Source organism: Homo sapiens, chromosome 5 (genome assembly GCF_000001405.40).
Source record: "Homo sapiens chromosome 5, GRCh38.p14 Primary Assembly".
Classification (NCBI taxonomy): domain Eukaryota; kingdom Metazoa; phylum Chordata; class Mammalia; order Primates; family Hominidae; genus Homo; species Homo sapiens.
This window is the reverse complement of record NC_000005.10, coordinates 64,770,101-64,794,723: the sequence shown is the minus strand read 5'-3', so window position 1 is coordinate 64,794,723 and position 24,623 is coordinate 64,770,101. Positions and strand designations below refer to the sequence as shown.

Genomic DNA, 24,623 nt, shown 5'->3' with positions numbered 1-24,623 from the left:
AAATATTTCAAATATTTGAAGTCTAGGATCATATTTTCACTTAGTTTTATTTCTCTAAAGTATTATTATATCCAGTTCCTCATTGCATTCCCTATGTTAGGTGGTTTTTGGCATCATTCCCGTCTTCCCCACCATTTCCCTTCCTCTGGATGCATCTAGTTTGTCAAGATCTTCCTTAAGTACGTTCACAACTGGATAAAATGCTGCAAGTATGATCTAAACAATGCAGAGGATGTTAAAATCCTTATTCCAGAGATCTTATTCTTAGTAATTCAACTAGGACTCACAGGCTATTATGTCATACCTATTCAGCTGATTTTATTGAACTCAAGTACAGAATTTACATGTACTCCTATTACATTTCAAATTACTAGTTCAAATTGGCATGAGTTGACAACAAAGCACCCTTTGGTCAGAAGTATTCAATTAGCTATAAATCTATCTGACTGTACTATCTCCCAGATCACATTTCTTCTTGTTGTCTACAAGAATATCATGAGAGAGTCTCACAATTTGCTTTTCTGAACTCAAGATACGATTATTATGGCATCTCCCTATCATGCAATCCTATCAAAAAGGAAATGAAGTCAGTCTGGCAAGTCACTTAACCAGAGGCTCAGTTTCCTCATCTATAAAGAAAAGAAGTTGGACAAAATCCCTTTGAGCTATAAAATTCTATGATTCTAAGAGATTTTATCAGGTAGTAGAAAGATACTGAAATAAATAATGAAGGAAAGCTAACCCATGTGGGAGAGGCACCTTGTCATGAATAAGTGAGTGGGGTGAAGGGGTGTCTGTAATCCCACACTGATAATCCATAAACCAGAGAGGACTCTAATCTTATTTCTCCTTTCACATAAAGTAAAGCCTCAATTCAGACTTTACCAATTATTAACTTGTGATCGGGCAGAAAGGTTCTGGAATAAAGATTAATACTGTGCAGTCACTGAAAAAAGAAACTTGATAAACAAATGAAGAATGAAACAATTATTTTTAAGCCCTTTAGAAATATTTAATTTCATGCAACCACTGAAACTGCAAATTATTCTTAGTCATTAGAACAGACACTTATTTGGCTTTGGCTCCAGTCATTTCATACACTTAAAAATAGTAAAGCTAAATTTTGAAGAAATATATTCTATTAGCCACAGTTTTCCAACATTCAAGCTAGTCTTCCCTCTTCTTACCAAGGTATTTGAACAGTGCTGGTAGTGTAAAAAACTGTATATAAGCAAAATAAACAAAAATACACTTCTACTTGGATTCTCTCCAGAATTTATCTCATGTACTTAAAAACAATTTCCCTTTCTCTAAGCCAGTAAATTTCAACAGTATTGTTCTTGTTACTCTATTTTCTCCAACTAAACTTACCTACTTGTCCATTACATAAAGCAGACAAAAAAGTTAAATTCTGTAGATTTTAACTTTTTTGATTCTGCAGTGTGCCAAGATCCAATCGCATGTGAAGAATGGGTTGTTGGTGGGTAATAATGAGGCTGGGCTGCACAAGCCACTATCTAGGACTCAATGGGAGTGCTCATGAAGGCCACTAGGCCAATTGTGTCAAGATTGTGGCTTCCTACCCAAAAAGGCTGAGCTGATAATGAAATTTCTCACCAGCCCTCTAGATTGGGCATAAGGGCATAAGATTCTACATAATGGTTATGATCATATTAAAGAAATTTTACATTCTTTAGTTATCTGAGATTAAAATACCAGTTATAATGTATAGTATATTTTAAGGCACTTGGCTTTCAAAGACATTTTTCAGTATTGTATAATAAATCAAAATTAAAACTATATCCTTACTCACAACAGTAAGTGGGACATACTATTTTCTTGTTCAGAAAGGAAAATTGAGGCTCAGAGAGACTAAGTTATCAAAGCTCACAGGGTGTCAGGGGAAATTAAAGTTTTAATATGAATTTGTATGATCCCAAATCCATGTTATTTCTATTCTAGCACACTGCCACTCAAAGATGACACAGACTCTATGTACAACAAGCTCACAGCCCAGGACTCTACACAATTAATAAGTTATAAAGTAAAGGGTATAATGTTGGACTTTGGACTAGTGTACAATGCAAACACAGTCATATGCTTCTTCTGTAATAAAGCAAAAAAGATGTGTTTAAAAGGCAAATGTACAGTATTACAAGAAAGGCAAAGGTTGGGTAAGAAAAAAAAGATTTTTAAAAGCTGGAAAAGACATTTAGAAAAGATGGCATTTCAGGTGTTGAAAACAAATATGACTTGGATATCCAGAGGTGTGATGGGACATTTCAGGTGGGAAAAAGAACATCAAGAAAGGCACAAAAAATGGAAACAATAAGGCATACATATAGAGCAGCAAATCATTCATATCTGCTAAAGCAGTGTTTCCTACATTTCCTTGGTATGAATTCCTCTGGAATTCATTAAAAGTACAGCTTCCCAGGCCCCTCGCTTGGAAATTCTAATTTAGTGGGTCTCAGATAAGGCCTAGGATTCTTAATTTTTAAAAAATATGTCAAGTGATTTTTATCACCAGGAAAGTTTAACAAGTACTAGTCGAAAGAGCAGAGTTGGTGAAGGACAGTCATGAAAGCAGAATCTTGAAATAATAGGACAAGAAATTTGGCCTTATTTCTATAGTAAAGAGACAGTAAAAATAACATTTTAAGCTTCAGGAAGGCTGCTCTGGTAGTGGAAGGAAAAGAAGAGAGGGGAGATGGGAAACTGGTCTATAGACTACCACACCAGTCCAGTCTAGAGATAATGAAGGCTGAACAAGGGTAGTAGCAACAATAAATTAAAAGGAAAAAACAGATTTGAGATACATCTTGGATAAAAAATTGCCAGGACAGTGCAATGAAAAAATATATGAAAAATCACAATGGAATCTAAAGACCTTCTTTGGAAGATATTGACACTAGGGAATACAAAGTCACAAAATAAGAAGTTTGAGAAGAAAAAGATAGTGAGTTAAGACTTCCCCAGGGCTTGATAAACTAATGTCCAATAAGCAGCTGGAGAAAAGAAGAGTAAACCAGCCTAGAGATATAGACGTGAGAGTCAGATACAAGCATTTGATGATAACTTAATTACAAAGCACCCCCTACGAAAGAGCCAGATGAGAAAACTATGATGACACAATACTAGGATAATAATATTCATTTGATAATGAACGGTATTTGGGTTGTAATTTTCTTGGCAGAGAGAAAAGATTTTACTCAGTCCTTCTAAAAGTATTTAAAGTGTTTTTCAGGTTTAAGAAAGAAAAAAAAAAAGACAGCACTATCTGTGCTGCTATCCTTGTACATTTCAATCTGAAACGCAAATTGCTTTTGGAGTATAAGTTCACAATATTCAGTATAATGTAAACATACCATTTTTCTATTTTGTACAGTAGAAAGCAGCAGAAGGAAGATAATCTTTGAACATTTAACACATGCTGCTGTTACAAATAGAAAAAATTCAAACTAATTTCCTAGTCAAGTCTATCTCAAAGCAATTGTGAACAAAACTTACTTTAGACTAGAAATTTAACTTCAACAAAAAACTGACAGAAAAACTTTCTCCTGCCCTTGCTCTCCAAGGCTGCTCAACCTAACTATCCAGGACCCTGTGGGATTTAGGGAAGGACAACGGGCCAACTGCCTTCCCCAGCTGCCTTCTACCCCAGAATGCTACGCTACCAGTGAAATTTCTCACCAACCTTTGAGACGTCTTGGGCTTGAAGGAGACAGCTTCTACAGCATTCATAATCATATGAGAGACTTAACTAGCTAAAAAAACCCTCAGTTCAAAATTCTGATTCTACCACCTCTTAATTGCATGATCATGGATGAGTTATTTAACCCTCTCTGAGTTTCACTTTCTTTATTCTACAAAATAAGAAAAATAATATCTATATTGCATGGTTGTTATAGGGATTACATAAAATAAATAGTATAGTTAGCAGATAAGAAGATAAATTATTGTAATGCAGTAGGATAAATGTTTTGATGGGCATAGACAGATTATCATGGAAAGAAGTACCTAGCTTAGCCTGGATGGGAGTTCAGTGGCAGGGGGAGGTAGAAGTAGTAGAAGGTGATAGTAGACCTAAATCTTAAAGGAAAAACACTTTAAGGAGAGAGCATACTCCTGGCAAAAGGAAAAACAGGGGTGGGGGAACTGTGAGGAAAGTATGGGTATGCAAGGAAACTTGACATCTTTAGAAAACATCAATGAAAAGGAACCCTGGCAATTTCTAGATCTAACATTCATGGTTTTGTCCATTCACAAACATAACCACAGAATCATGACACATAGTAAATCATTTTGATGAGGCATAAATTTGAATCATAAACAATGCAAGACTAGTGCACTGACATCTAAAGAAGATGACTCTTCAGATATTGAGGTGACAGAGTGATTGGTGACGTTAAGGAATTGGGAAATGAAGTTTTTGTAAAAAAATGAATTTAGTTTTGACATCTAGAGACCTTTCCTAAAGCAACTCTGAACAAGGGATAAGAGCCCAGGAGAAATATTTGGCCTTATCTCCTAGAGTTTAGAATGTTGGTGTACAGGTAAATGGAAATTGAATCCATGGCATCAAATACATCACTCAAGGATACAATAAAAAGCAACAAAAAGTTATGACCAAAATATTTCATATACACACCATTTTAATTACATTTTAATGCAAGGGGTATTAAGTAGAGTGCTTACTAGGCGTCCAACATTAGCCTGCAAAACCGTGCTCACTAATAAGGGAACATATGGCTAAAGAAGTAAAAACAAGAATAATAATAATATGCTTTTAATTCAATGTTATTGTTAGAGTTGGTAAGAAATAGATAATTATGTTAAGCAAGTAAGGCTTATAGGTTATAAAGTTTTAATTACAACAATAAAGACTATAAACCTAATCCTTTAGTTCTCAGTATTCACTAATTTTCAAAAAAGAAAGGCATATCAGAACCTTTAGGAGTAGAAACCCTTGAAGACAGTTTTCTTGTAGTATACACACCAGAATTACTGCTCTAAACAATGGCATGACACCGTGTTTCAGTAATGCGTATTATGATGCAAGCAATATTGAAGAAAACCACATGTAAAGGCCTACAGGAAGGACTAGCAGAATAAAAAGGCCAGGAGGCACTGCATAATTCAAGGACATGGATTTAATAGTTACAAAGACCTGCGTTCAGTTCCCATCTGTAGCTACTTATTGGTTATGTTACTTTGAGCAAATTATAAACTATAGCTGAATGTATTCATGAGTAAAATGAGGATGATAATAATATCACCCATCTCAAAGGGCTGTAATGAGAATTAATGAAATAAACAAAATATATATAAATAACATTAAAATGAATATAAGAGTTTTGGTCTGTGACTGTTTATATCAGTAATGATAATAATCATTATCATCTAACATACTACCTGAAAAAATAGCAGTTAGGATCTGAATCATAAAGTCCAACCATTCAAAAAACTGCAAGTCTAGTTCAAACTGATTTTTTTAAAATGCCAACATTAAAAATAAATAGGATAATCTCAAAAGTTGCAAATATTACTGACCACAAATCAATTTACAAATTCAATGAACACTTACTGAGCCTGCCCCATGTAAAACATGCTGTGCCAGATATAGCAGGAGATACAATAGTGAGTAAGATATAGACCCCAATCTCTTTTGTAAGTTAGAACAAAGGGCAAATTAGAGATTACCTGACTAACTCGATTTACTTCCTCCTCTTCTTCCTCAGCTTCCTCTCCAAATGAAAGTAAACTAAAATTTCTAGTCCAAAAAAAAGAAAGAAAAAAAAAAAGAAAGAGAAAGTCAAATCAAACTTATAAATACCTTATTTTCAGAGCAAGAGAACAGAATTTACAAGAAGAAATACATTCTGACTGTTCTAAAAAAGACCATATTACTCAGTATTCAGCAGAAGTATTCTAACGATCTGTATTTTCAGTATGATGTTAAAGCTTTTGCCTCACAGCACCAATGTTTCCTATATTATACTAACTTTTAATGACCAAAAATCCCTTCTGAGCATTACCATTAAATTTACTGAGTAAAGCATGACAGAAATAATTAAGCTTTTTTATATTTATCAAAACTGGTAGCAAAATGGGGGTTTCTGAAAAATAATAAGTATATATCCCTGAGTGCTACAAATGGGAAGCAATTAATCTAGTATTTGGCAAAATATTTTTTAATATTTTAAAATTAATATGTATACAAAATTGTCAGACAAAAAAATATGAGCAATGAACAACTAAAATAGCCCACAAGGAGAAAAAACTAGGTTTGTCTCCTCTGATTCATCAAACAAAAGTAATCTCAAGTAAGATAAACAAGTTACTAAAACTGTCTCTCAAATAGAAAAATTAAAGATGTGGCAGTGAAACAGATTTTTTTTTTTCCCAAAGCCTAGAAGCAAGCAACGACCAACATATCATCCCCAATATATTTGCTGGAAACAAAAACAAAGCAAAACACACCAAAAAAAGACTTTAGAGTTTATTGTTAAGATAAATCATAGTGATGACGCACTGCATATGAATACAGTGACAGTGACCTTTCATCCAGAGATAGATTAATCAAAATAAGCTGATCAAAGAATTTTTAAAAATCAAATAAATAATTCCAATAAGCAGTTATTTTGCCACAAGGAATTAACTGCTTATTAAAGTGTCTGGCTCATATCTGACACTTTATAAAACAATTTAACTTTGTATTTGTAGGATATCAAGGAAAAAGACTAATAGGTATTGAATGCCTATACTACTGGGTGTTTTAACATACCTCTTCTCATTTAATCCTCATAACAACCAGGAGTTGAACTTATTCTAATCTCCATTTTATAGGAAGAGGTAACTGAAGCTTAGAAAGTTTAATCAACTTTGCCTTTTATTAACTAGGTTTGGCAGGATTATATCTAGAATTGATCAAATCTAACAATTATACTTACAATAAAATCTCTAATAAGGATCCTACGATTCAGTAAAAGAGTACGTTGAAATCTAACTCTGCAGTATATACAGACAGTATTAATAATGTAGAATATTGTCCAAAATACTGAAATTTATTTTTTCATTCCTATTTTTTGGAAAATTATCTTCTGGAAATAAACCAGAATACTGAATGAAACAGCTTTATATTTTAAAATATTTATAATAATATTATTTTTAATAGCAACATAAAAGGAGTAAAAAGTTAAATACAAGTTAAATTGCATAATGCAATCATGCAGTCATTAAAAATATTCTTTATACTTTACTTTCTATTTATACTGAGTGAGCACATATTAATTTTAAAATAAGCAACAAACAAGTTTCTCAACAACTCATTTATATAAATAATTGTTACAGGGATCATAAAATATGTATCTATTTATTAACACAGATTTCATGTGAACAACTGAGATGACATGTTTGTAGCTTAAGTTTAAGATATACTGCACCTGAATACAAGAGTTGCTCATTTAGGAAAACAAACAAACAAACAAACAAACAAAACCACTAATATGGTTTGGCTCTGTGTCCCCACCCAAATCTCATCTCGAGTAATTCCCACAATCCCCATGTGTTTTATGGGAGGGACCCTAGTGGGAGGTGACTGGATTATAGGGTGGTGTCCCCAAAGCTGTTCTCATGATACTGAGTGAGTTCTCATAAGATCTGATGGTTTTATAAGTGTTTGACAGTTCCTCCTTCCCACTCGCTCTCTCCCCTGCTGCCTTGTGAAGAAGGTGACTGCTTCGCCTTCCTCCACGATTGAAGCTTCCTGAGGCCTCCCTAGCCATGTGAAATTGTGAGTCAATTAAACCTGTTTCCTTTATGAATTACCCTGTCTCAGGTATATCTTTATAGCAGTGTGAAAACGGACTAATACAACCACACACTCATAATTCCAATATCTCTCAGTCTCAGGCATGTCTTTATAGCAGTGTAAAAATGAACTAATACAACCACACACTCATAATTCCAATATCTCTCTGGTTCAAACTGGCCTCTCCTTTGCTAGTAAACAATTACTATAAAAGGAAATATAGTAAACTAAATGAATGAGTGTCATTTTTCAAGCTGAAGAAAAATCTCTCCACTATGATTACTTTGTGCCTTTGGGTTTCAATTTCTTTACTTCCTCCTCTGGTTTCTCTTTTTTCAGCCTTTTAATTTCCCTTGGAATGATGTCATCAAAAGGATTAAACAAAACCTATGAAAAAAAATATTTCGAAAACATTATTCCATTTTTAACATTTCACAAAAAATCAAACCCCGTATGTAATTCCAGTGGTATAGTGTCTATATTTTTCCCCACATAAACATTATTAGTATAGTGATATATATTTACTACACAACATGCTTCCACTTACACGGCCTCACTGGATTCTCTCAATAATCCTATGTGCTATTAAGTAAGGGATATTTTATCCCCATTTTACAAAAGGGAAAAATATTTAAGAAAATGTAAATGATACACAGTAAACAAGATCAACTCAGATGCTTTGATTCCAAATCAAGTATTCTTGCTTCCTCAATGAAGGGTCATTCTTTTTTTTTTTTTTTTTTTTTGAGATGGAGTCTTGCTCTGTCGCCCAGGCTGGAGTGCAGTGGCGTGATCTTGGCTCACTGCAACCTCTGCCTCCCAGGTTCAAGTGATTATCCTGCCTCAGCCTCCTGAGTAGCTGGGACTACAGGCGTATGCCACCATGCCCAGCTATTTTTTTTGTATTTTTAGTAGACACAGGGTTTCACTGTGTTAGTCAGGATGGTCTCCATCTCCTGACCTCATGATCCACCCACCTCAGCATCCCAAAGTGCTGAGATTACAGGTGTGAGCCACCGTGCCCAGCAGATTACTCTTAAATTACCTATGAAGTCACTACTTTGGGCTAAATAAACCTAATTCCTTTAACTTTCCATTATGAGGTAAGCTTTTCAGTCATTGGATTATCAGATAAAGTTTCATCTTTGAATTAAAATCTTTAATTAAAAAAATTCTTAACTAGAAACGGTGCCCAAATAAATTAGAGATAAAATTTGAGTTGTGATGTTAACATAGTATAAAGCCTTAATCCAATAGTTTAAAAATACTAAGAATCAATTCCTCTTAAACGACAATGTAAGTGCTGTATCTCGTAATAATCATGCTCCTACCTCACAGCTTTTTATTTTGTGTGGATTATGTGGTCTTTCGTCATCATCAATGTCTACTTCTGACAGTCGCAACATGTTATATACTGTATCCCCTGTAACCTATCAAATTAAAAATATAATGTAATTGAAAATTATTGCACTCATCCTTTGAATTAAGAGAAAACCTTTGAAAACATCTTTCAAATAATTAAAAGAAAATTTCATGTGATTACATAAAAATATATGCATTTAATAATGCAAATAAAGCAACTTTATCTTAAAGGAGAAAAGCATGGATGGAGTTCAATCCCCCAATAAGTTTTTTGGAAATTTCCAATATATATTTAATGTAAGTTTTTATTAATAATATAATGCCAAATAATCTCCTACTGAATGACAACTTTTCATTCAAACATCATAAACAAATTTAAACTTTGGAATAGGATAAAATAAGCAAATAACAATAACAATGTGGTAAATGCTTTAGAGACATTATCTCATTTAATCCTCACAAACAACCTAAAAGTAGGAACTAATATTATCCTTCTACAGATAAGAAAAATGAGGATCAAAGAAGGTATAAAACCAACAGTGATGGCCTTTCTAACTTCTAACTATGCTACACATTGTCTCTGATGTGTTAGTTATATAACCCAATTGTAAAAACTGATGCAGAATGGCAACTTAAATCTCATTTTATTACACACTCTTATTTTTAAGGAATAAATGGAGGGAATCTATAAACATCAGACAGGCTGTGCTGGAGTGGCTCAAAAGAATGTGCCAATGCATATTTCCTAACCCACTGTTATTAATAAGTATTAACCAACAACATTGCAACATATAGTTTTAGTGTGATTCCTTTCATTCAGTGTTTTTCAAGAGTTTTAAAACAACACCAGCTTTCCAATTGTACTGAATTTGTTTTTTTCCCTTTCATCACCACAAAAATCCAGTTTTGCCCAGTATATGGGGAAACCATTCTTACTGAACCAGCAGAGGGCGCTGATGCACTAGTGATGTCCGATATGCCTAAGACTTAAAACATATAGAAACATATTTATGAGAATGGAGAAGAGTGAGAGAAGAAAACCTTCAGAATCCCTTTTTAAAGGGAATTGTTAAAAATTCTATAGAAAGGACGTTCCCTAATATGACATTAAATGTGAGCAGGATTAAATAGGTACTATTCAAAGTAATATTTACAGTAAGAAGTTTCAATGTCAACACAAATTCCACTTTAAACTTAAGAAAATCCATCATTAAGAAAATAAACTGTAAACTACTAAATATTATTACCTAAATGTCCTTCCAAAAGTGTAAAATCAATATTGGCTAAGTGGCACATTTTAGCTCATACCATTACTATGATTTTAAAGAAGGAATACACTAAAGTCACAACTAATGACTGAATTGAAAGATCCAAAAAGAACTTAGATGCTCCCTCATAGTGCACTATATTAGGAATATATTCCATCATTTTTGAAAATAATAAACATATCCTATGGAATGTTTTTACAAAGGTAGCTCTTAGATAAGTTAATCATATGTATCTTAGAAGTCTAAGGAATAACATAAAACCAAAAACTGAACCACAGGTTTAAAATCACTGGACACTAACCTTTCCAAAGATGGTATGCTTATTGTTAAGTTCATCTGCTCGACCCAGTGTGAAGAAAAACTGGCTGCCATTATCATGAGAACCAGCATTTGCCATGGCAACCAGTCCTCTCCGATTAAAACGCAACCGTGAATGAAATTCATCCTGAAATGTAAAAAGATTTAGTGAATGTCCTCAGTTATAAGACCCTTCATATGCAGTTATTCAACTTGACCTGCAAGGTCCCATACAACTTCTAATAAAAAATGCAGACATTTTACTTAATTGATTTTCAAGTATTTACTATTCTTTCAATGTTATTAAACTTGAATTCACTAGACTGTATCTTCTAAATATACTCAGACAGAAATATACCCTATTTTGTAGAAAGCTGCTTAGTTACATCTAAAGGAAGAGTACCCAAGGGGGAATGGATTTCTAAGTCATTTCCCTATTCTCATCCCAAAGTCAGCTATGCTTTTGAAATCTTCTATTATTTCTCCCAGAAAACTACCTTTGAGCCATTGCAGAGTATTCAATTATTACTCCTTCCCATCTCATTCTAAATGTCATTAAACAATTGCTTTGTTCTTGTTTTTTAATTCAAATAATCTACTATGATTGTGTTATGTAATTTTACCATGTCTTTTTAAAGTCCTAAGTTGAATCTTCTCTGAAATGGCACTGATTCTATTTGCCAGTTTTCAAAAGAGCAGGAACAAGCCTTTCTAAGGTGGTTTTCTCACCATGACAGGGCTACTTAACAAATATATTAGTCTCTTAGTTAACAGAATTTCCATCCAGCCTGATACAGAACTCATTTATAAATGTAGTCATGTTATATCATAAATGCTTTTCACAAAGGAAGATATTTTTCCTTAATAAATAATTCTCAAGAGATCTGAACTCAATGGATCATAACTCTGTATACTGTATTCAAAATGACCTAATTGAAAAATGTAACAAGATAACTGTATTACCTGAAAATAATGAAGCAAAAATCTCAAATTAGGAAGGAATTGTCAAAAACAGCTATTCTGTCACACCAAATAAAAGAATAAAAGAATGCTTCCGACTAGACGGAGTATCTAAAATCATGAGAAGTCTTACCATGGTAAAATATAAAATAGTCTAAAAGTGACATCTGAGACTTTTAAAATAACTATTCCACATTTCTAAGGCCATTATCATCTGGAAATTAAAGCTAACAGTTCAAGTATTTTCTTCAAGAATCACACAATGACTCATTAAAAGATGAAAGGAAAATGCAATCTATTCCCTTAATATAAAAACGAATTTTTCAAAAACTCCCATATTTTAAGAGATACCAATATTTACTCATTCAAAGAACATGATATTGGTGCCATCAAATTAATAACAAACACAACTTTTAGCTTTTACTTGAACCTGCTGTTGTTATTATCTTCACTATGACATTAACTCCTTTTCTTCTTAGATCTATGTTGGCAGTTAAGAAATCACTGACCTGTTCTTGATTAATGCATCTTTTACAGACAATTTATTTATTTATTTATTTATTTATTTATTTATTTGAGACGGAGTCTCGCTCTGTCGCCCAGGCTGGAGTGCATTGGTGCGATCTCCGCTCACTGCAACCTCCACCTCCCAGGTTCAGGCAATTCTCCTGCCTCAGCCTCCTGAGTAGCTGGGAATACAGGCGTGTGCCACCATGCCTGGCTAATTTTTGTAATTTTAGTAGAGATGAGGTTTCACCATGTTGGCCAGGCTGGTCTCAAACTCCCGACCTCAAGTGATCCGCCCCCCTCGGCTTCCCAAAGTGCTGGAATTACAGGCATGAGCTACTGCACCCAGCCTGATGTTTATATACTAATGTGAAACGTTTTTTCCTCTTGTGGAACACAATCATTTTCGATTAAGCAATCCAAACTGACTTGGAAATAATAATAACAACAAAAATAATAATAAAAATAATAATTCAGTCTTACTTTGAATGGCGCTCCATAGATAGACTCTCCACCACTCCCTGTGCCAGTAGGATCTCCGCCTTGGACTATGAAACCAGGCACAACTCTATGAAAAATGGTATTGTCATAATAAGCTGAAAAAAAAATAAAAATAATTTATCAATGTCTAAAATTAATCATCTCTACAGTTACCAAAATTAATACAGCTAGAGTCAAAAGATTTATTTTCCAGAATGTTAAATACGCTCCCCAGCCAAAACCTTTTGTATCCTCCTTCTTATAAAATAGTTACTTCTCAGAACAGCACACATTTCTACAGAAACCATCACTGTTGACTTCTTGTTTTTATTTCTAGGATTCTCTCAAACTCTGGACTGGTCTTCAAAACAGAAATTAGAGAGTTCTGATAGGGAGGAGAAGCAATATTGTGCCCCAGGGGACATTTGTCAATTTCTGAAAATATTTTTGGTTATCACAAATGGGGGATACTACTGGCATCCAGTGAGTAGGGGGCAGGGATACTGCTAAACACCCTATACTGCAAAAGACAGTTCCCACAACAGAGAATTACCAGCCCAAAATGTCAACTGTATGGAGACTGAGAAACCCTGGCAAAGATAAATACCTTATTTCCCACTGCTTCCTCTTTTCCTCACAGGAAATTAATTTATTAACACACAAACTCATAATATATCAAAATTACTTATTAGTTATAGGTCTAGAACCATCAATACACCCTCCTCAAGAAACTTTGAATAAATAAAACAAATAACACAATACATACTTGAGTCCAATTAGCTCAGTTTGCTAAATGATTGAAATAAATTATTAATATTTATATGTAATTCAAAAATATACAATTGGAGTATATAATTTAGAACTCATAAATATACAGGAGAGACTGTATATGACCTCCTATACTATATATTATCTGGAACCTAAAATCATTAGGATACTTCATAGAAGAAAAGGAAGTTAACTTGGGAATGGCAGAAGCATGGCATCTCAGTGAGGCAAAGTATAAGCGACAAATTGAGTGGGAAGCAGGAATTAGAATTTGCCTGAATAAGAGAATTTACATTAAGAAGTAGCAATAATGACCAACATGCATAACAAAAGATGCTCAATATTATTAGTCATTAGAGAAATGCAAATCAAAACCACAATCAGATACTACTTCACACCCACTAGAATGGCTAACATCAAAAACCTTAAAAGAATAAGTGTTGGTAAGGATGTGATGAAACTGGAACCCTTTTACATTGCTGGTGGGAATATAAAATAGTGTAAAAAGTTAAACACAGAATTAGCATGTAATCCAGCAATTATGATTCCGGTGTGTGTGTGTGTGTGTGCGCGCGTGTGCGCGTGTGTATACAAGTGATATATATGTTTATATATTAATATATAATTTATAAGTGTAAATATATATAGTTCACATAAATAATATATAATATATAAGTAATTATAGTTATAAGTAATTTTGATATATATTGTTTGATATATAAATTATATATAATATATATATCACTGTGCACATGATCAGATTTGCTTTTACAAAACATCATATATTTATATATATTGTTTCTATATATATCCAAAAGAATCGATTGTTTATATATATATCCAAAATATATATATTTGTATATACATCCAAAAGAGTTGAAAACAAGTACTCAAATACACACAAATGTTCATAGCAGCACTATTCACAAGAGCCAACAGGTGTAAACAATTCAAATGTCTATCAATGGATGAATGGATAAATAAAATGTGATATATACATATGATGGAATATGACTGTCACAAAAAGGAATGAAATACTCATACATGCTACAAAATGGATGAACTTCAAAAACATGCTAAGTGAAAGAACCCAAACACAAAGTCACATATTGTCTGACTCCATTTATAAGAAATATCTAGAATAGGTAAATCTGCAGAGATGGAAAATAGATTGGTGGTTGCTGGGGGCTGTGGGTGGAGGAGGGGTATATTAGTCCATTCTCACACTGCTATGAAGAAATACCCAAGACTGGATAATTCATAAAGGAAAGAGGTTTAATTGACAGTCCCACATTGCTGGGGAGGCCTCAGGAAACTTACAATCATGGCGGATGGCAAAGGAGAAGCAGGCACTTTCTTCAGGCAGCAGGATGGAGTGAGCGCAAGCAGGGGAAATGCCAGATGCTTATAAAACCATCAGATCTCATGAGACTCACTCATTATCACAAGAACAGTAAGGGAGAAAATGCCCCTATGATCCAATCACTTCCACCTGGTCCTGCCCTAGACATGTGGGGATTATGGGGTTTACAATTCAAGGTGAGATTTGGGTGGGGACACAGAGCCAAACCATATCAAGGGGAGAATAGAGAATGACTGGGTTAATGGATACAGAGTTTTCTTTTGGGGTAATAAAGTGTTTTAGAACTACATAGAGGTGCCGGCTGCACATTATAGTGAATATACTAAATGATGTTGAACTGTACACTTTAAAATGGTTAGTTCTATTTTATATAAACTTCACCACAGTTTTTTCAAAAAATCCGTTAGGTGGAAGGAAAGAAATTTTACATCACTGAAATTAGTTCTGTACTTACATTAGGTAAGCACAAGAGGAAAACATATGTAGTATGAAGTACTGAATAAACAAAAGCTATTATTTTTGTTGTTGTAAAAACAAACAAAAAGCAAATAGCAACAAAGCAGGTTGTGGTTGAGCCAATCATCGAGTTAGGCAGTCATGATTCAATCACATGCTGAGGGTTACAAAGCAGAAAGATGGAAAAAGCACAGTTCCCTAAAGATTTCACTGAGCTTCCCTAAAGATTTCACCAGATTTCTTGACATACAGGAGGATAAATGTCTTTATTATTTAAATCATTTTGAGTTGGGTCTTCTATTACCTGCAACTGAATACAACCTGAATATAACTCATTCAATGAAAAATATTTATCAAGTATCTACTGTGGGCCAGGCATTTTACTGATACAGTTACTGACATAATTTATAAAGTTCCTATTTTAGTGTCTTGGAGACACCCTCATAATTATTTATATTTGCAAAGTATAACTGGATATACAATGCATATTTTAAAAATTATAATCTGTATTCTAACAACTGTATTTAGTACACAGTACATAAGAAGTAGAAAGGAAGACCAGCTGATTTTTGCTTAGTCCCTTCTCCCATTGCAGGGCAGTTGGGCTGCATTTACAAGAGCTCCCTAGTGCAGACAAATTCCCTCTGGTTACAAATAGATACTATAAAAACCAAAAGGTCTTAAAGTATCTCTCCTATATTCCTAGGTAACCATTTCATCAGTTACACTAACACTGTATGTAGCAGTCAGGAGTTTGAGTCTTGCCTTTTGCTAGCTATACAGTCTTAAACTCCATTTTCTCATAAATCTAATAACATAAATTAAGGCACAGTGTCAATCTGAAGATTAAATAATATGAAAGCAAACTACACATTTTCAAGTTCAACACAAATGTGAGGTCAAACTAATATCTTCACTCAAATGCTACAAATTCATATTCAAATTTGAATATAAAATATACCCCAGTATATATCATATAATGAATATTCATCTAGACCCATAATAAGCAGCCAACCAATACTTTTTGAGCACTGTGCACATGATCAGATTTGCATTTTCAAAATGTCACTCTTACCCAGTGTGAATATATTAGAAAGAGACATGACTGGAGAGAGAGGGGGAGTGAGAGAGAGAGAGAGAAAGAAAGCAAGAGACAGCGCAAGTGCATGCGACAGAGAGCCAGTGAGAGAATGCAAGCAAGCAACTACTATCCTGAGGTCATTACATAACTATGGCTTATCTTGAGATACACAGATTCAAGAACTACTTATGAAGCAAGATCCATAAAACCCAGATATATGTTACCTGTGACGGAAAAAGGACATGAAAGAGGTCTTTATTACTTGTGTTTTCAAATTTTAGAATTTCACCATTTTCTTTCTTTTTCCTATTTCCCATTAAGTATTTCAGTGATGCTGGCTTTTTATTTTAAGATTTTCTTTATGATTTTCCTAGTTATATTCCTGTTGAATGCATGAAATTATTATACTATATATAAATGAGTAAAAATTTTCTATACTCTCTACACTATAACTTTGTATTCTAACATAGCTGGAATTTCCAATGTCCACAAATCTTCCATATCTACTATTTCTACTTCTTTGTAATTTATTAGTAATCACTATTGAACTATGCATTTATAGTTGTATTTATAGTTTATAATACTGTATATTTTGCTGCTTGCAATGTTTATTTGATTTTCTTAAATTTTTATGCATCATCACAAGTGTTTTGAAAAAGCTTTATTATTTCATTATGCACGTTCATAATATCCTCCTGAATGTTCTCCACTATTGAAAAAAGATACCTAAATGTATCTTAAATATGAAACAAAGTTCCTATTTGATTGCTGTCATTCTAGTATTTGTCACATGGTTTCTATTTCTGGCTACAATAATCTATGGGCATTATCATATATTTTGACTAATTATATTTCTTGCCCAAGTTCATAGAGGAATTTATACTTGCACTTTAAAGTAGTTATACGTTTCTTCTTCTAGAATCCTGTTTTGTGTTTAACTATGTAAATGTTATCATTAATAACTTTTTATCTAACACTCATCTTGCGACCAGTCTGCACTATCTGGTATTTTTTTAAACAAATATTTTAGTTTTGTAAAGAAATTTCTTTTAACTTATAGCATATTTATGCTTATATTTGTCACTCTAAAGAATTAGTAAACTATTATTAAAGAATAAAAGATAAGCAATGAAGTGTGGACCATGATGAGACAAGAATGATGTGAAATAAAGGTGAAGAGATTAGTAGTCACACAATGTATTAAACATTTTGATTTTCTTATCCACTTCTCCCTCTGCTCCCCACTTGTCTATAAAACAAACATAAAATTATACTCCTTCCTCACACTGGAGGAACTAATGAAATTATCAAAGCTAATAAGCTTCCCTTTCATTCCTTTATATCTTTTTTGCTCTATTTTTTAATTGATAAGTTTTTAAAAGTTCCACTCATTTTAAATGTCCACCTAACTATGCTGCAAAGACCAAAAATCTAAGATTAAGTCTGTATAATGTAGATCCTTTGGTTTTTTAAAGGCTATAAACCATCCTTTGGCTATGAACATCATTTTAGTTGAGGGCCATATCTGAGACTGCGCTCTTACTTGTTCATGTTTTATTCATTTGCTTTTAAATTCTGGAAACCATGCTTTAAAAAAATAAATATGAGTGTTTCAAGATCTAGAAACATTATGACTCGTCTAAATCATAGAAGCAAAGAACTAAAATGGGGTTTTCTGGATTATATTTTTGAAACCTTGACTTAACTTATTTAGGAGTATCCTTGTTTAAATCAGTCTTCTTAGGCTTCATGTTAGCCTTTCCAATAATAATTCTATCTCTATTCAATTAAGAGGATTGGTGAATTTGATTAAGATAATTGTTGTGGTTATTTTTAAAATTATTTTTCTATTCTTTCTTCTTTCTCCTTGCATTATTATAAATAGGGGAATAATTGTTGTAATAATTGAGTTTTATCATCACCCAACTTAAGAACCTCATTTCTTCTTCACTGTCACATTGTATCCAGATGTTTTCTGCTTCTTCCATTCACCTGGTCATGGATTGCAATTTACCATTCATTCTTTCTAATGTTTTTGTAATTTTACTCTCCTTCTGTAAAACTTGAGCTTTTGAATCTTCAAAACTTCTTACCAGAAACAAGTCTGACTTTTTCATGTCTCCTGTGTTTCTCAACTTGGTTAACAGATATTTGAGGCCTCTCTGACTGAACTACCTACCTGACTCTATTTCCTTCCTGCCTGCCACAGCAATTATTAATAATGGTCTTTGCAGATGTCCTTTCATTCTCTCTCTCTCTCTCTCTCTCTCTCTCTCTCTCTCTCTCTCTCTCTCTCTCTCGCTCCACTCCTCCCCACCTCTCTCTTTTGGAGAGGGGGTGGTATCTGGGTATTTTTCATTTCTTAAATCTTCACCTGATAATTACGTCTATTTAGAGAGATCTCATCATACCATACTACTGGATTCTCTTTCACACCTTGCTTCTGACCCAAAATGTTGTTTTCTGATACCTTGAATAAAACTGTCTCTAAAAATCAAATATAACTTAGAAGAACAATGATTTGCCACCGCTGGAGATATTCCAAACCATATGTAATGTATTCTAGAAGCCAACAAAAAGCTCTAAAAATGGAAGGTTTACTTCCCTAAGAGAATACTCTGCAGGGAAAAACACTTCAGTGGATGTATAATTCTGCAGCATTTTAAAAAAAGAAAAATAGTTACTTTATGACTCAAATCTAAAAAAACTAGAGACATTGATAATAATATCACTGGATGCTAGCTGGAAGGCTGTGTGGAGAAACTAGAATTTTGAACAGACATTTAAAAATGGGTAGACTTAAACAGTAAAAAAAGGGAAGAAAAAGCATACCAAAAGAAGGGGAACTAGTATGAGGACATGTATGAAAGTGGAAACGGAAAGGAAATGCTTAGGAAATAATGTCCAACTAAAACCATGTGGTTAGTGCAATGAGCTAGAAAGTTGGATAGCTAGGAAGCCAAGCTGCCTGAGGATTCAAATACCATATAAACAAGGAAGAGAGAAAAGAAATTAAGGATGAAAGACAGGAAGGGGAGCAGGCAAGAGGCAATTACAGTCATACAGGTGAAAGGCAGACTGGGGAAGAAATTGGTAAATTTGGTTTTACACTGGTTTTGTTATAGCTAACAGTGGAAGGCTCCAGTTGAAAAGTCCACTAGGCAATTAGATATGTAAATTAGTACTAGGAAGAGAAGAAATGACTGAAGTTCTTAATGTGGTAGTCATTTGGACTGAAGTAACAACTAGAGAGTGATGACAATAGAGAACTAGAGGCAATCTTAGGGAATACCCAAATTTAGAGAATGAAAGGAAGAAGCGTAAGATAGCAAAGAAGACCAAAGAGGATCACAGTATTATTTGTTGAGATAAACTGCTCTGTTGAAAGTATTCAAATTTATTTGGGATAACATTTATCTCTTATCTCTACTTCCGGACACCCAGCTCAATACCATATCCTCATAGCAACACCTGTCATTCATGACCACTATTTAACACTAGTCTTCAATGTTGTGAAGCAGACACTGCAGTTTATTTTTAAATTAACAAGAATTTCTCCAGTAGAATAAAAGTCAACATACCTTCCAAACAAAGTTGGATAAAATTTCTGCAAGCTTTAGGAGCTTCTTTGGACCACAACTCTATGTCAATATCTCCAGCTGTAGTTTTCAATAAAACCTGTAGAAAGAATATTACATTTTATTAAATTATTATTTTGCTTAATAATCAGTTGAATAACTATTTGACTTGTAGCAATCACTAGTGAGTTTTCAATTTTAAAAGAAATATTAAAAATTGTGTTTGGCTTTTGTTGATATACTCAACAAAATGTCAAATATTCACTACAACTCATTGTACATTTAGATCTTTCAAAATACCATTTCAGAAAAAGTTTGGGATTTAAGAAAACAATAGCATATATCTTTTTTAATCACAGAAAAAAACTTCATTCATTTAGAAAACGGTAATATCTAAAGTGAGTTCACTTGAGGCTAGGAGTTCAAGAACAGCTTCGGCAACACAGACAGACCCTGTCTCTAAGAAAATTTGTTTTAATTAGCCAGGCATGGTGGTGTTCCATGCTATTTGGGAGGCCGAGTTGAGAGGATCACTTGAGCCTGGGAATCTGAAGTAATAGTGAGCTATGATCATGCCACTATATTCCAGCCTGGATGACAGAGCAAGACCCTGTCTCAAAATAAAATAAAACATGACAAAACCCCAATAATGCAAATTTGTTATAATTGAGTTTCCCATTGCATCAATTCCAATAAAACTGTGTAGCAAATTAAGAAATTAAAGAATAATGAACCCATTAAATTGTGACATTATAGGACAATTTTATAATTACCCTTTTTAATTACCTTTTACTCTCTCTGCTCATTTAACATCATGCTATTCCTAATTTACAAAGGAACATTCTTAATCTAATTCTGGCTTGTGATTTACTAAAATACTATGTCTTAAAATCACCTTCTATAGTAAATAGAATCCCGTGATAGCCTTTCCACCAGCTCATAACAGCAGATACTCCTTGGTAGAACCAGAAACTTTGCAACTAGAACCCCTCCCTGCTGGGCCCACAGGAAACAGTTTATAACTGTCTTATTTATAACCACAAATAACCAAAAAGAATGTTAGGCTCTAAATTTGAACATTGTGGCATAGCTGGAAACCAATTTCTCCAGTATTACTTCTTCTTTTTTCTCCCCTAGTATACCAAAGTAGATCAGTGTCAATAATTTGTGACCATCACAATCTTTTAGAATGCTCTTTCAAGTAAAGAGTATGCAATATAACTGTTCAAAAACATGAGGCTGTTTCTCATAGGTCAGTATCATCAATGCTAAGTCACATTTCACCACCCTAAAAAGAAACCCTGTACTCATTAGCAGTCACTCCCTATTTACCCCTACTCCTACTCTCTGGCAGCCACTAATCTACTTTCTGTCTGTGTAGATTTGCCTATTAAACATTTCATATAAACAGAATCATACAATATGTGGCCTTTTGTGTCTGGCTTCTTTTACTTAGCATAATGTTGCTTTCAAATTATATAGGGGTCTTTCAGTTCTACACATCTAGTTTTTAAATGTCTTGAAAATCACAATGACTTTATACTCTTACTGGTAAATATTTCAAGACACAATATATATTTAAGGCAAAGTTCACCATTGAAAACAATAAATAGAAATCCATATTTCCAATGGTCTTCATAATAATTTCTGATTTTTTTGACAGACTTCCCATGCTGAGGTATCAGCTCTATCATGTTCTTATGATTTGCTTGTTTATATTATTAATAATATCTTCAATAAGAAATTTGTGATGGCTGGTTTAGTTAATCTAAATACTATGGTCTATAAATCTATTTGGCTAGTCGTTATGAAAAATTACACCACAATGCCAAAAAAGTGCCTTTTTTTTTTTTTGAGACAGAGTCTCACCCCGTTGCGCAGGCTGGAGTGCAACGGCACGATCTCGGCTCACTGCAACCTCTGCTTCCCGGGTTCAAGCAATTCTCCTGCCTCAGCCTCCCGAGTAGCTGGGACTACAGGCACCCACCGCCACACCCAGCTAATTTTTTGTATCTTTAGTAGAGACGGGGTTTCACCATGTTGGCCAGGCTGGTCTCGAGCTCCTGATCTCATGATCCGCCCGCCTCAGCCTCCCAAAGTGCTGGGATTACAGGCATGAGCCACTGCGCCTGGACTTTTTTTTTTTTTTTTTTTTTTTTTTTTTTTGAGACAGAGTCTCACTGTCTCCCAGACCCGAGTGCAGTGGTGTGATCTCAGTTCACTGCAACCTCCACTTCCTTGGTTCAAGCAATTCCCCTGCCTTAGCCTCCTGAGTAGCTGGGATTACAGGCTCACAACATCATGCCCGGCTACTTTTTTTGCATTTTTTTTAGTAGAGACAGGGTTTCACCCTGTTGGCCAGATTGGTCTTGAACTCCTGACCTCAGGCAATCTGCCATAGTCTCCCAAAGTGCTGGGATTATAGGCATGAGCCACTGCACCCAGTCATCATCTTTTTATATATATTAAATAATGAATTTAAACAAAGGAAAAAAATACAAATATATATAGATTTTCTCCCCACAGCTCATGGATGGTTTTGCACACCCACTGAAGTATGCACTCACTGGTTTAGAAACCACTGCTCTAATGAACACACTAATTACATCATCCCTCCCTCCACAGGCTCTGGAATCAGGATGCCCAAATTCAAATACTGGCCCTTCCATTTACTAGCTTTGTTACCTTGCGCACACTATCTGACATCTCTGTCACTTAATTTCCTAATCTAAAAACGGGATAATAATATCTTTTAGGATTTCTGTGAGGACAAAATGAGCTGTAATACATAGACTGCTTAGAAAAGTAAATGACAAATAATAAGTGCTCAAAAAATGATAGTCATTATTACGTGGTTTTTTGGCCACAGGCAACTTACACCTAGTAAAAAGAATGCATATATAATCGGGCCACTTTGCTCACCAGGGTTTCTTAATCTTTTCATTAATAAGCTACTGAATTAATAAAGAAGGTATATGGCTCCTTCCTCCTCTGGCCATACATTCTCTTTGGTCATCACTACTTTGTAGGCCTCCTTGGCTCTTTCTCTTAAAATTCCCAATTAATACCTTGATAATATCATGTTTCTTATAAACATATATGCAAATATACTTATAAAGCCATTTTGATTTTCAAGATATTTAAAAACTAAGTGTGTACAACAGGAAGACAGACCCCTATCATTTGAAAGCAACATTACACTAAGTGAAGAAGCCAGACACAATTTAGAATAAGTGATCATAATATGTGGAAATTTCATCTTCAGGGAATTACCTCTTATGCTTAAAAACTTTCTGTCAAGTACTACATTTCTTTGCCTCATCTTCAGGGGCTAGGGTTACAGCAAAACACAGAACATTTATGGACAACCAGGGACCAAGCACTGGTATCATGTATCAATTACTTCCCAAGCTGATACTAAGTTCTTTGAAGGGAGGAATTTTGTCCCATTTACTCTGAATGTCTCTGTACGCTTTCAGCACCTAATGTACCATTAGATAGTAAAGGCAATAAACATTCGTTGAACAGACTTATTACATGTGCTTCAAATTCTTCACAGACCAAATTTTTGTCCACACTCTTAACCTTACAGAACTTAGAAGCTTTAATATCTTTGATGAGCCTTATGCTGGAAAAAGTCCCAAGCTGTTTTTGGATGAAAACTTGGGCCCTTATGTTATCATTCAGCCTATTTCTGTTCAGAAGATAGTATTTATCACATTTTGTAATTAAACATTTATTTGCATGATTATTCAGTCAATGTATACTTCACTCAACTAACTCATGACAACTGAGTCAATGCTGTGTTTTCTTTCCATTGTCTCCCTAAAACCTAGCATAGAGCCTGGCAATTGATTTGCTCAATCATTATTTGTTGAATGAATAATCTATTCAGGAATGTATCCTTGTTAAAGCTTTTCATCTATATGACCATGTCAAATCTTGCTTTAGAATAAAGCAATTAAGTCTGTCCTTGACCAGCAGTATAACCTCAAACTCACTGATGCTTAATACTTCTCAAAAACTAAGAAAAATATAGTATTAATTCATCCATCCATTCATTTATTCAATACCTATCTGAACTCCTTCTATCATGTATCAAGTACTGTTCCAGATGCTTGTCTCTGCCCTTATGTTCCTTACATTCTATAGGGGGAAGGTAGGAGGAAGGATACAGTAATACTAAATAATTAATAAATACCATGAAAAAAACTAAAAAGGTTAAGGGGGCCAGAGACTGCTGGGATGCAAGGCATGATTGAAGTTTGCTATTTCATAGAAAGTAGATAAGAAAGGGCTCTTTGCTAAGGTCAACACTTGATTAGACAGAGGAACAGCAAGTGTGAAGGCCCTGTCTGGCAGGATGGTAAATCTATTCAATCTCTACCAGTGTTTATTAACTGGGGGTGATATTGCCCTCAAGAAACATTTGGAAATAGGAGGAGGTAGGTATTTTGGGTTTTCACATTGATATTAAATAAGATAGGTGAGGGGTGGGATGGACATACTAATCTACAATGCCCAGGAGAAGTTCAAACAAAGAATTGAAAGAATTGGTCTGCCCATAAAATATCCATTACATTTTTGCTGGGAATTACAGCATTTTTGGTTTCACTTTTAAATTGCTCTCATTACATTATCAAATGTCAATGAATAAAAGACTGTATAAATTATTTATGATGCAATCATG

General features: G+C 34.1%; 1 protein-coding gene across 5 annotated transcripts in view; it reads right to left on the bottom strand.

Moving 5' to 3' along the window:
* Positions 1 to 24,623, bottom strand: part of CWC27 (CWC27 spliceosome associated cyclophilin) — a 249,846-nt gene that overhangs the window by 224,040 nt on the left and 1,183 nt on the right. For all 5 annotated transcript variants that reach the window (NM_001297644.1, NM_005869.4, NM_001364478.1 and 2 more), the window contains exons 2-7: positions 19,937 to 20,033; positions 12,691 to 12,803; positions 10,745 to 10,888; positions 9,145 to 9,243; positions 8,097 to 8,200; positions 5,704 to 5,773 (exon numbers count right to left, since the gene is read on the bottom strand). In NM_001297644.1, the coding sequence (NP_001284573.1) occupies positions 5,704 to 5,773; positions 8,097 to 8,200; positions 9,145 to 9,243; positions 10,745 to 10,888; positions 12,691 to 12,803; positions 19,937 to 20,033 (627 nt within the window). The remainder of the gene's footprint in view (positions 1 to 5,703; positions 5,774 to 8,096; positions 8,201 to 9,144; positions 9,244 to 10,744; positions 10,889 to 12,690; positions 12,804 to 19,936; positions 20,034 to 24,623) is intronic.